This window comes from Homo sapiens, chromosome 16 (assembly GCF_000001405.40).
Source record: "Homo sapiens chromosome 16, GRCh38.p14 Primary Assembly".
NCBI lineage: Eukaryota > Metazoa > Chordata > Mammalia > Primates > Hominidae > Homo > Homo sapiens.
In genome coordinates, this window is record NC_000016.10 from 28455 (window position 1) to 41783 (window position 13329).

Sequence of the window (13329 nt, forward strand, 5' to 3'; positions counted from 1 at the left end):
AACAAATCTCTGTGGTTCTAAGCTAACCATTTTGTGGCACTTTGTTACGACAGCCCTAGGAAACAAACGCAGGCACGTTCTGCTCCAACTGCCACTCTCTCCAGACCACAGCTCCTCCACAAGCCCACCCCATGAGAGGCTGAGGACAGAAGCAGGACCCTTCACAGGCCACCATCACTGCTGGATGGTCACCCCCAGCACTGACTGTCTGGAAGCTCCAGGCTCAGCTCTCAGTTTCCTGGAGCAAGTGGGAGGATGAGGACAAGGAGGAACGAGGGCACTGGCCTCCCAGGAATTGTCCCTGAGCCTCCATCCTGCTGTCCTGAAGCTGCCCCTGAACCTCCAACTTGCTGTCCCCAGAACTGTCATTGAGCCTACACCATGCTATCTCTAGAGCCCGGAAAGCCCAGGGCTGGACAAACCCCACCCCTCACTCCTCCTCTGGCCCCTTCTCCCAGCCATCAACACTTTGGAACAGCCATCAAGCCCCTTTTAATCTCTAGAAAGGTGCCTCAGTAAGGCACAGAGAGGTCACACCAGGTGGTCATGGTGCCTTACCTGTGTCCACTGGGCCCAGGCTGGCCCTTTAAGGGTATGAGGGCAGAACAGCTGAGAGACCACACCCCACTTCTCAGAGAGGTCAGGGATAAAGAAAAGGGACAATGGAAGGAAGAACTTGTGGCCAGGATGCTGAGGGTAGAGGCTGCTCCCCACAGGCACTGAGCAGAGGGGTTGAGGGGGGAGCCTCCAGCCTCCATCCAGACAGGACCTCTGACCGCTGCTAGGGGCCCCTTCTCAGGAGGTTCAGTCTCAGACAAGGGCTCCAGAAACTTCAGTCCATTTTCCCAAAATGGACATGATGCATCTGGCGAGTCAGGGACCTAGAATGTCCAGGACCGAGCCTTGCTGAGGACAGAAGGGAGCAACATGCCCTGGAGGTCCTCATGCAGCCCAGGCCTCTGGCAGTGACCAGCCAGCACCCAGGCAACTCCTTGCTGGGTCTCCAGGCCCTGATGGTCACAAGAAAGGCCACAGGCCAGGGCTGGGATGGGCCCAGAGCTCTGTGTGTTTCCTGGGAGGGCTGAGAGGTGCCATCCCCCATAGCAGCCCAAGGCACAGTAGTTGTTGTTGTTGCTGCTGCTGCTGCTGCTGCTCCTGCTCCTGCTGCCCTCTGAGTCTGGGGGAGCCGGCCTAGTCAGGGACGTGGGGGCCCAGTCCTCCTGTGGCAGATAGGCAAGCGTCTGTACCCTCCACTCCGTACACCCTGCTGGCAGCACATCCTCTGAGCTCAGGTTCCCCGGGAGCCTGGTCCCAGGGCCCTCCTGTTCCTCCTCCAGGGCCACAGATTTCCAAGGATGCGCTGGGCCACAAGTGAGCAGTGCAGTGGCCTCCTGGACGCAGGGCTCCAAGGCTCCCTGTGGGGTGCCAGCACAGTCCTGGCTCAACAGCACACCGGCCCTGTGGGCCCCCATCCAAGTCTGGAACAGAGCACGGGAGGAGGGAAAGGCTCAGGCAGCATGTTTAGAACTCATCCTGGGAGCAGCTGCCTCCTTTCTGGCAAGCCCAGCATCCCTCCTCCTCCAGGAAGCCCTCCTGAGGTCCACACCCAGAGGCCAAGCAGCGCCTGTGTCTTGGACATTCTGTCTTTCCTCCATGTGCCAGCCCAGCCTCATCACGGGACCCTGAGTCCCTTCAGGCTCCTCAGCACTCCCCCAGCACAGGGCCTGGTGCCCACGGCAGCCTGAACCAAGGTACAGATGGTGATATCTGCCCAGGACAGAGCCAGCTCCTGACAGCATGTGCCTCAGGGCCTTTCAGCAGCTGCAGAGACTGGGCATTCCCAACACACACACACACACACACAAACATACACAAACACACACACACACAGAGACACACACACACACAAACACACACAGATACACACAGACACACACACACGAGACACACACACAAACACACACAGACATAAACACACACAGACACACACACATATACACACACACACAGACATACACACACACACACACAGACACACACACGAACACACACAGACACATAAACACACACACACACACACACAGACACACACACGAATCGCTGTCAGGACTGGTGACTTTCAAAGCACTCGGCTATGGCCAGCAGACCTGGATCCTTCTGTGGGGCCACAGGAGGCCCCCGCCTCCAAAAGGAAGCTGTTCCCTTGGTGGGACCAGGAGCCTCCATCCCATGCATCACACACACAACACCCTCCATCACTGCAGTGCTCCCTGGAGACCAACCTATGGCACCAGATCCTCACCCGCGGGTCTAAATAACCCGTGGCAGGTGTCCTAGTTCTCTAGGGAACAGCTGGTGCCCGCAACAGGATGACAGTCCAGGGAACAGTCACAATCTGACCTGCTCAGCCTTGTCGTCAGCTGCCCAGACTCCTGACAGTCACATCTACCACCTTGGGGAAAGAGGGAGACTCTGCCAAGAGCCAGATGCCCGGTTCATGGTTCAAATTATATTTTTGGACAAAAATCTTGAAAACTAGGCTCCTCATTGAGAGAGAAAAGGATTTTTCTGCATAGTAAGCTGGAGCCACAGTGTGAAGGGGACAGGGAGGGAAGATTCTGGAGAAGAGTGGTCAGCTTGGCCCAGACCCCAGGGAGGGGCCCTCACTGCCTCTTGTCCTTTGCCCAAAGTGAGGAGTCTGAGGGGAAAAACCAGAGACCACTCACTGGAGCTCTCCCTCTCCCCCTCCTCCCACCCAGGGGGCATGAACCAACAGCCCAGCAGGGAGGGGAGGGGCTGATGCAACCCCCAAGTTGCTCACTGGTGCCTGGGCTGTAGGAGCCCAACATGAGTGGAAGGGGGGGAAGTGCAGAGCCCACTCCTCAGCTGTGGTGCCATCATGTGATCCGGGGAGACCAGGGGACCAGGCAGAGCAGGAGCCCAGAGGCAGTGAGAGCCCCAAGGGCAGCACACACACCACAGACCCTTCCCCATGGCCACAGGACAGACACCTTCGCAGAAGGAGGAGGTGAGGCACATGGTGGGTGCAGAAAGCTGCAAACCAGAGGGGACAGAGATAAGTCATGAGAAATTTACATTTTTTCAATCAACAATGGAACTAGAGACCTGAGAACAAAAAGAAATCAGCAATGGAAAATAAAGCTAATTTTTCCCCATTTGAGATCCGCGTATAAATTGAAATTCACTGAATATACAAAAAAGGCTCCAAGCACTGACAAGCCTCCCATACTGGCCGCCAACCCTCATGAAAGCCAACATCTTGGGCAGGCCAGAGCTCTGGGCAACCCCTGCCCCCCATGTCCTGCTGTGGTCTCTGCACACACCTGGAAGTTCCCATTGTGTACACTGTAGAGGGGCTGGAAGAACATCGCTGGAGAGGGCACGTTCTGGTAGAAGATTCTCTTCACCCTGAGGCCAAGAGAGGCCAGTCAGAGGCCTATGGCGACCCAGGTGGCCTGAGGTCACTGCAGAGGCTGAGCTTCCTTCCATCAGCAGGAGGCCCACCTCGTCCCTGCCACTGCCTCTCTCCCATCTCATCACATTCCAACCCACTCTCAGGGCAGGACCCAACTGGGCCTCCTTGCCTAACGGCCGCATAGAACTGATTTATACTGAGGCGCGCGTCCTTTACAGCGTGAGCTGCGATGGCGGGTTCAGAACGGGGAGTTACTAGCTGGGTCCTCAGATCACAGAGGGAGCCAGCACCTCCAGGAACCCTGTCTTTGCCATCAGCAGAAGGTCTGTGGCTCCCACCCCACCCAGTGTCTCCCTGAGCACCAGACTTGCTGCCAAGGATCCACTGACCCTCCCACAAGGATGTCACCTGGGGCTCCAACCCAACAGGTGCAAATAGACCTCGCCAACCTCCCCGCAAGGCTGTGCCCCATTTCCCCACCTCAGGGTTCACCACTCATATCTCATCCACCCACATGTCCCTTCTATTTCCCCTCATGAGACCCTGCAATTCTCTCCACTTTTCTCTATCTCCACTTCTTTCACTGGCTCATGCCAAATCGTCTCCCTGTGGGCACCTCACTGGCCCCCATTGGCCTCCAGCAGGTCCCCCATGTCCCCTTGTCCCAGCAATCTATTCCTCAAAACATAAACTAGGTTGTGTCACACAGTTTTACACTTTCCTTTGCTCCAAGGAGAAGCGAAGCACCCTCCCACTTAGCCCCACCCAACACCCCTCTCCCCACACCCTCTTCCTCACATCCTCGGCCTGACATGGCCCCTGCACTCCCTCTTGTAACCTGACATGTGGTGCATGAGGCGTGACGGTTTATTTAAGGAGGGTCCTTGTCCATCTTGTTCTCTAAGGCATCGGCCAGGGTGAGAAGAGGGTCCTGTGTACACCAGATGCCCCAACTGACCTTTCATATAACGTGTGAACAAATGAACAAACCAAGCTCCTCCAGAGGCAGGAGACTAGGACCTCCGGCTCTTGATCTCGGTGACTCTGGGTCTGGTCGGGACCAAGCTGCCCTTATCTTCAGCCTCTGCCTCAGACCCCCCTTCCCTGCTCTCCCCTGGCAAGTTGAGAACCCTCTTCTGGACCAGGGTGGAGACTCGAAAAGCCCACCCCGTCCAGGTCCAGGCAGTGGAGAGGGGAGGGGAGGAACCAGACAAGGGCGGCCCTTGACGGCCCACCCACCACACACTCACACATGCACACAGTCACACATCTGCACACATACACTAACATGCACACTCTTGCCCGCTCACACATGTACACACACGCACACATCAGCCACCTACCTGGGCGACAGCTTGAACAGGAGGTAGGTCGGGCCAGTCAGCAGGAGAAAGATGGACACAGCAACAAGGGTGTTGCCTGGCCACCCCCAGGGTGGGATCAGAGGGCCCGTGGGCAGGAAGGGCCCAGGGCTGTGAGCAGCCTCAGTGCCAGGAGGCTCCCCCCAAACCCACCTGGCAAAGGTGCGCCCTTTAGTGCCCTGGGCCAAAGTGGAAGGTTTGTGATGAGCCTTGGAGGTTTGTGTCATCTGCTGAAGGACCTTGTGATGGGCCTTGGAGGTTTGTGTCATCTGCTGAAGGACCTTGTGATGGGCCTTGGAGGTTTGTGTCACCTGCTGAAGGACCTTGTGATGGGCCTTGGAGGTTTGTGTCACCTGCTGAAGGACCTTGTGTGAGCCCCACTCCTGGGCCTCACTCTTCCCATCTGCCACATGGTGGGTCATAAGGTCCCTGGGCCGTCTCAGCACTGCAGTGCGCAAGGGTCAGCCCAGCCCTCACTAAGGACACTGAGGTCATGTCCAGCCTCCAGGCAGGAGCACCAGCCCTGGTGTGCAGCCCTGCCACCCTCACTGCTAAGAGGAGCCACTGACTATGGGTTCCCAGGAAGCCCCAGAGTTGGCAGGTGTTTGTTTCCTCCCTGCAGACCTCAGAGCTTCCGAGGAAGGGGGTCAAAGTGGGGCATGGCTGCCTCAGGGAGGGCCTTCCAGGAGGCTGAAAGGGTGCAGGGGTGAGGTGATCAGGGGAGAGGATGCCCAGCCCAGACTCTGGAAGTGCAGCAGCCGTAGCAGCGACCACCTTGTCTCTGGGGAGCCTGGAAGCACACGGGCTGGCTACACTCGCTCCACTGGCCTGTGTAACGCTCCTCCTGTGCCCCGTCATCCTCCAGCATGGCCATCTGGACACGCAGCCCGGCCTCATGGATAAAGCCAGGGTCCAGCTCAAAGGCTCCAAGTATGAGCCAGGTCACCCCAACGATGTGATCCCTGTGCTGGGCCCACTGTGGGGGTGGCGACAGTTAGCAGGTGCTGAAGGTGGGGCTGGGTCCCCCTCGAGAATACACACACGCACACGCTCACATAACACACAGGAACACATCTGTGTTCACACAAGCACACTCAGCAGGTTCATGTGCACACACACACGGAGAAGGCACACTCACAGTCACACGCAGACACAGCTGCGTTTGCCCACAAATACACATAGGCACACACAGGCAAACGTGTCTACAGGCACTTTCACACTCATCACACTTGCATCACACTCATAAACACAAGTGTGTGCACAGAAGCAACTCACCACACTCACACACACACTCATACCTGTAGGCATGCCCAAGTGCACTCACGTATACAACCACGAGGCACACACTCATGTACAAACACAAACACGGGCACACTTACATGTGCACACACATAAACACAGGAGCACTCACCCTACTCACATACACACACGAGGCACACACATGTGCATGTCAGCATGTGCACACACACGTCTGGCTCTAGCTCCTCCCCTCCTCTTCACCCCAAGTTGACCTCTCCTTATTTAGAGTGGGGAGCCTGCCCTGGACTGCTGCTCCCAGGAGGGAGGCCCCCAGGGGAAGCCAGCCAAAGCGTTACCTCCCAGGCCTCTTCCTGCCTCTCGAAGGCCATAGGTCATAGCTGAGAAGTGTGGTCCTCGACTCCAAGGCAGGACCGATGCTCCAGGTCAGGATGCAGTGGCTAGAGCTGATGTTGCCCTGCAAGTCAGAGTGGGTCCAGCTTCACTGGAACAGAGTGAGTCTACGTAAGGCTGAAGCCCCATAGGTCTGGGTGTGTCAGTCAGCACATCCAAGACCGGGGATCTGAAAGATTCCCAAGGGGCATGGTCAAGGCCCTCTCAGACCAGGCACCTCACTGGGAGACTGGTCCAGAAAACCTTCGGGAGGGACAGGACAGCAATGACTTCCTCTGGCCTCTGCAGCTAGACTAGGTGGTTTCTAAATCTTGCTTCCCCTTTCCTTCACAGTCTGCTGCTGGCAGTCCTTCCTGGTATGACCGAAGTGCATTTCACATGACTCAAGTGCCAGCCCCTGCCCCAACTAGCAGCCCTGCATCTTTATTTTCTACAAAACCCTGCCCCTGCCGTCACCACGTCGGCCCTCCCCTCCCAGGGGCCAAGCCTGCCCCCAGCCCTGGATCTCACTTGGCTGGGACTGAGAACACTCACTGGGCCTCAGGGGTCACAGGCTGCAGGGCCCTGCTCCCAGCCCCCAGGCAGCCAGGATGTTCTTGCCAAAGGGCCCTGCCCCAGGCCTATAGCCGCTGCTCACCGTGTCTCCAGGGCAGGTACTCCGGGTCCACCAGGCTGACCTGCTCCCTCCCAGACACGCATTTGGAAAGTGATGATGCAACTGTCGGACGGCAGGAGCACTGCCTCGGGCGGCAGCACGACGGTGCACTCACTGCCTCGCAAGGTGCACTTACGTGTGCCACCAGGAGCCTGGTTGCTGGAAAGGGCATGTGTCAGCACCACGGGGCTGCTACACTATCCTGGCATATCTGCTGCCATCCTGGGGACCTCACCCTCATCCCTGTCCAGGTGGGCATGGCCCTCCAAGGTCACCTGGTGAAGAGGAGCCCGGGGCTGGAGCCCTGTCCCAGCTCTGGGGCAGACCAGTGGCAATCGATCCTGAGAATGTTGTTGGTGAGGCAGGTGGAGGTTCCAGCCCTTGGCCCTGGAGACAGTGACGGTCGGGAGCCCACAGTGAGTGCTCGAGGGCAGAGCTGAGTTGGGGGGTTGCGGGGGGATCTGACAGCTGACACCCTAGCAGGGCAGTCACCAGTGAATGATCCCAGAATCTGTCCAAGAAAGCACTGAGAGGCCTGGGAAGTGATGGGCTCTGACCCGTGGTACACAGGCAAGTCAGACCCAGAGAGGCGTCAAGAGGGTGAAGGAAGGGAGACTAAGGTCTGTCCAGGGACTGAAGATAGGGAGGTAAAGGAAGCAAGAATAGAGACTGAGGTCCAGGCTGAACCCTAGAGGACATGCCCCAGCACAGTTTGGGCCAAACCTTTCCCTAGGGTCTCAACATCGGACAAACCAGTCCCCCAAACATGCCCTAGTTCTCCACACACCTCATACAGACACTAGTGCCCAGCCCTCACCTCGTCCATCCCCCGAGACAGAGACTCCCGAGCAGACACAGGTGCAGACGCAGGTGCAGGCCAGGAGCCAGGTGCCCATGTCTTGCCTCAGGGCCTCACTCTCCAAGGTCCAGCCTGCAAGGGGCTGGGCTGAGGGCCTGTGCGAGCCATCCCTCTCTGGAGGGGTGCTCCCCATGAATTGCTCCCCAGCGGAGTGCTCAGCGGGTCTCCATCTGCACTCACACAGTGTCCTGTGAAAGACGCTGGGCACCACTGCCCAGGGTTTACTGATAAGGAACTGAAGCTCAGAAAGGCCGATTGACCCAGCTGCAGACTCGTGGCTGCAGGGTGTCAGATGCACCCTCAAACTTTGATCCGGACTCTGACTTAGCCAGGTCTCCACGTCCACCAAGAAGGCTCCTCTCTAGGACGGGCACCCTCTGCCAGCCCATGCCCTGTCCCTGGGCCCAGGCCCCATTCTGCAGGAGGGGTCAGGATTGGGGGAACCAGTCACTCCTTACAACCACCACAGGTGCATTTTCAATGAAAATTCTCACAACAGCGCTGTAAGGAAGAAGCACTGTCCCCGTTCACAGGCTGAGTCCCAAGGAGTGAAGCAGGGAAAATGACTTGCCCAGGGTCACACAGATGGCCTCTATGCATTCTTTTTTTCTTCTCTCTCTCTTTCTTTTTTTCTTCTCTGTCTCTCTCTTTTTTTTTTTTTTTTTTGAGACGGAGCTCCCTCTGTTGCCCAGGCTGGAGGCTGGAGTGCAGTGGCGTGATCTCGGCTCACTGCAACCTCCGACTCCTGGGTTCAGGTGATTCTTCTGCCTCAGCCTCTCAAGTAGTTGGGATTACAGGTGCACACTGCCACCCAGTTAATTTTTTTTGTATTTTTAGTAGAGACGGTTTCACCGTGTTGGCCAGGCTGGTCTCAAACCCGTGACCTCAAGTGATCCACCAGCCTCGGCCTCCCAAAGTCCTGGGATTACAGGAGTGAGCCACCATGCCTAGCCTCTATGCCTTCTCTCTCCCTTTTGTCTTAAATAAAGACCCATCCCAGGATTCTGCCCCAGGAAGGTGGACGAAAGTGGCAGTGGGGTATCGATGCAACAGACAGCACTTCCAGAGCTCTGTTGTACCCCTGTTCCAAGATGCCTCCAAGCGAGAGTACACCAGAAGGGCAAAGCCCTCTATGCTGGAGTGTTAGGCCTGAGCCCCAAGATTCCTGGGGTAGCCAGAGGCTGGCTGGAGATGAGGGGCTGGGTGTCAGGAAGCTCTTGAGTGTGGGAAGGCTACTGACGCCCTATCACCCTATTTGCAGCTCCAGATGATACACCAATAGCTTCTAAGCAGGAAGCAGGGCCAGCCTGGTTACACAAGACTGACTAGTGTTAAGGAGGAGAACAAAAACAGACATACACACAGACTACAGCATGCACGCCTTGTTTTTTCTTTTTTTTTGAGACAGAGGCTAGAGTGCAGTGGCACGATCTCGGCTCACTGCAAACTCTGCCTCCTGGGTTCCAGTGATTCTCCTGCCTCAGCCTCCTGAGTAGCTGGGATTACAGGTGCGCACCACCACTCCCAGCTAATTTTTGTATTTTTAGTAGAGACAGGGTTTCACCATGTTGGTCAGGCTGGTCTTGAACTCCTGACCTCATGATCCGCCCGCCTCAGTCTCCCACAGTGCTGGGATTACAGGCATGAGCCACCATGCCTGGCCCAGCATGCATGCTCTTAAGGAACTCACACACTCTCAACAGGCAGTAGGCACTACTCTAACCCCACTCCTGCAGCCTACCCAGGTACCCACAGGACAGTCCCCTGTTAAGACTGATGATCGGGAAGACTCACCCTTCCCTAGAATGGAGCGTGCAGTCTGGCACCACCGGCCACAACATGAAACACCGTGGCAAGTTCTCTGCAGCAACGTCTGTCCCTTCTTGCAGCAGCTACTGGAAAGGTGGGAATGGGGAAGACAGTCAGCCTGCTCTTGGGATATCTGAGGGCGGGGTTGGAGTGACCACCAGGACCTGGGGAAGCACAGGCACAACAGCCACAGCTGAGAGCTGACCCAGGCCCCAGGATGGCCGACCGCTGCCCCAGCAGTGGAGAAACACCCACGTCGGTGTAGAATCAGGCCAGGCCAGCCACAGGCTAACCCAGGAGCAGACGGCTTGAGAGCAGGGAGTGGGGCGGCTCCAAGCTCAGCAGTCCTCATTTCTAGAAAGGGAGAGGGGATGGTAGGGCAAGACCCACATGTGACACCTGAGAGCTACAAAGGAGGAGCCCAGGACACTCCCTAGGGGAGCATTAGAGTGTTGGGTATAGCGACAAGGGGGTATGGCCATCTGAGGGGAAGGTCTCTGCTTTTCCTCTGCACTGAAAACTCACAGCTGCACCTGGTAAGCTGAGCAGGGCAGGGTTACCACCCTCCTACAGATAAGGAGACTGAGGCTCAGAGACCTAGGACCTGCCCAATACCTGGCTCCTGACACCTCTGTTCTTGGCACATTCCCATCAGCTTCTACACAAGCCTGTGAACTTCCCGAGGGCAGTGCCTGCGAGGCACCACTCAGCACATGCCCCAGCAGAAGGCACCACAGTGCTTTACAAATAGGGTGGAGCTACAGGCAGATCTACCTTCCCCCATCCTTGACCACAGGACCAGGAAGTCAGGGCAGGTGCACACACCCCCACCCACATGCTCCGTGCTCCTCTGTGTCACCAGGGAGGCCTCACCACAGCTCAGACACCAGGTCACAGGACAGTTGTGAGAGCAAGAGGGGAAGCCAGTGTCTGCCACCTGGGAAAGAGCTGCCCCGACACCCCCAGTCCTGCTAGGGAGCCTGGCTGACATCACTGCCCAGGACACCCTCTCCTGCACTGGGTCTGTGGACATAGCCTCCAGCCCATGGTCACTCTGGGCCCTTCTTAGAGCCTCACCTGTTCCATGGCCTCAGCATCAAGGCCTGGCCCAGATGACCACTGGGCCTCACGGCCTGCCTGCCCTGGTTCCCTGGGCCACTGTGAAGCTGTGCGCTGCCCTGCAGCTAGACCCCTCCCTCAGACCACAGGCTCTGCCACACCCACGGGAGGGTCTTCAGGCAAGCTCAGCCATTCACCCTCCCTTAGCTGGGCAGGGTGGCCCACGCCTATAGTCCCAGCTCCTTGGGAGGCTGAGGTGGGAGGATCTCCTGAGCCCGGCAATTTCAGGTTGTGGTGAGTCGTTATTGCGCCACTTTACTCCAACCTAGGTGACAGTGAAACCCTGTCTCAAAAAAAAAAAAAAACAACTGCAGCAAGAATATTCCCAAAGATGAGACACTAATGCAGCAAAAAAGGAAGTGTAAATATGTGTTAAAACTGGCGGCGGTAAAAGCATGTGTGGGGCAGGAAAAAGCTTAGGTGGACAAATGTACGAAGCTTATGAAAACATAAAGTGCTTAAAGTGTATGGTTTTCACTCCATCATCATTATTATTATTATTATTATTATCATTATTATTATTGAGACGGAGTCTCACTCTGTCACCCAGGCTGGAGTGCAATGACACGATCTCAGCTCACTGCAACCTCTGCCTTCCAGGTTCCAGTGATTCTCCTACCTCAGCCTCCAGAATAGCTGGGATTACAAGCTGTGCCACCATGCCCAGCATGAGCCACTGCACCCAGATTAATTTTTGTATTTTTAGTAAAGATGAGGTTTCGCCGTGTTCGCCAGGCTGGTCTCGAACCCCTGACCTGAGGTGATCCGCCAACCTCAGCCTCAAAGTGCTAGGATTACAGGCGTGAGCCACTGTGCCTGACTTCACTGCATTATTCAACAGCAAGAACTCTGTGGGAAATATCTGAATCCATTATCAGTGGTGAATCTATTGACTCTATCAGTGGTGTCAATGGTATACTTCATTTGCTCTCCTGGATGTAACCAGCATTCACAGATGCACATTTGCAATTGATTTCAATGACAGGGAACACTAACTTTGAACCCCAATGAAGCAAAATGGCATCCACTCTTCTCAGTAATAGACCCACATTACAAAAATTAAACTCAATTATTATGTTTTGAATTTTGTCTATAATCACATTCTGAGGTTAAATTCAAAAAAATTAAATAAAAAGTATAAAATAAAAAAAATTGCCTATAAAAAACATATGGAAGTTACCAGCCTGGGCAACATGGCAAAGCCCTGTCTCTACAAAAAAATATATATAAAAATTAGGCCAGACGCAGTGGCTCATGCCTTTAACCCTAGCACTTTGGGAGGCTGAGGTGGGCGGATCACTTGAAGTCAGGAGTTCAAGCCCCGCTTGACCAGTATGGAGAAACCCCGTCTCTACTAAACATACAAAATAAGCCAGGCATGGTAGCACATGCCTGGAATCCCAGCTACTCAGGAGGCTGAGGCAGGAGAATAGCTTGAACCCGGGAGGCAGAGGTTGCAGTGAGCCGAGATCATGACATTGCACTCCACCCTGGGCAACAAGAGCAAAACTCCATCTCAAAAATAATAATAATAATAAATAATAATAATAATAATAATAACAACAAGCTGGGCATGGTGCGCACCTGTAGTTCCAGCCACTCGGGAGGCTGAGGTGGGAGGATCGCTTGAGCCCAGGAGGTCCAGGCTGCAGTGAGCTGGGATTGCGTTGGAACAGGAATTAAAAGAAATTAAAGAATGTGTAAGCAGAAACTCAGTTGTATGTAAGAAAACCCAGTTCCCCTGAGAAAGAGAAAGAGCTGGAGTCCTTTAAAAATTGACTGCCTGTTTTTCCGTGGCTAGTGAGCCTTATCTCTCCTCCTTTCCCAGGCATCGTGAAGACCCTGCTTCTCTAGCCGTGCAGCTGCAAGGTCACTAGACAGATAAACTCAAGTCGCAAAACATGTTTTTCTTTGAAAAGTGAGAAATGATGTAATGCATGTCTCAATTAATTAAATAACTACCTTCGTTTCTCACTTCTGTAATATGCTTCTCCCTGCACAGATCTCCCACCACCCCACAAAATACTTAAAAGGTAACTCTTTGCTCAGGGCTCAGTCCTTTGGATGTTAATCCGACTGGGCTGGTGCTCCTAAATAATAAATATCCTCCTCAACCCCATCAGTCTCTCTGATTCCTTATCAATCCCGAAACATTTCTGGGGGTTCATCCGGGATTGGAGACGACAGATTTACTTTCTCCTTTGCCTGCGGCACTAGAGCCCCAGGGCCAGGGGAGACCCAGCATCCAAGGTGCACCACGGGGGAGCTTCACCCGGATAGAAGCCGGCACTCCCCACGTCCCGGCGCCCTGTCCGGCAGCGCAACGGAACCAGGGATGGGGCTGTAGGATGATACCAGCACTTCGGGAACCATGGTAAGGAGTAAGGTAAGTAAGCAGACAAGGACCAAGGCAGGAAAGCCTGTCCCACAGGGATGAATG

The 13329-nt window shown here is 55.3% G+C and overlaps 1 pseudogene, besides 4 other annotated features; it reads right to left on the reverse strand.

The window, feature by feature from the left end:
- IL9RP3 (IL9R pseudogene 3) lies at window positions 474-8037 on the reverse strand (annotated as a pseudogene).
- Window positions 5539-6310: an enhancer, noted in NCBI's record as "H3K4me1 hESC enhancer chr16:83993-84764 (GRCh37/hg19 assembly coordinates)". NCBI's record gives its function as "activates a minimal SCP1, AML or CMV promoter by ChIP-STARR-seq in naive H9 embryonic stem cells {active_cell/tissue: H9 hESC(naive)}" and the evidence as "EXISTENCE:reporter gene assay evidence [ECO:0000049][PMID:30033119]".
- Window positions 7016-7095: an enhancer, noted in NCBI's record as "active region_10197". NCBI's record gives its function as "activates an Ori minimal core promoter by ATAC-STARR-seq in GM12878 lymphoblastoid cells {active_cell/tissue: GM12878}" and the evidence as "EXISTENCE:reporter gene assay evidence [ECO:0000049][PMID:35858748]".
- Window positions 10186-10733: an enhancer, noted in NCBI's record as "H3K4me1 hESC enhancer chr16:88640-89187 (GRCh37/hg19 assembly coordinates)". NCBI's record gives its function as "activates a minimal SCP1, AML or CMV promoter by ChIP-STARR-seq in primed H9 embryonic stem cells {active_cell/tissue: H9 hESC(primed)}" and the evidence as "EXISTENCE:reporter gene assay evidence [ECO:0000049][PMID:30033119]".
- Window positions 10734-11280: an enhancer, noted in NCBI's record as "H3K4me1 hESC enhancer chr16:89188-89734 (GRCh37/hg19 assembly coordinates)". NCBI's record gives its function as "activates a minimal SCP1, AML or CMV promoter by ChIP-STARR-seq in primed H9 embryonic stem cells {active_cell/tissue: H9 hESC(primed)}" and the evidence as "EXISTENCE:reporter gene assay evidence [ECO:0000049][PMID:30033119]".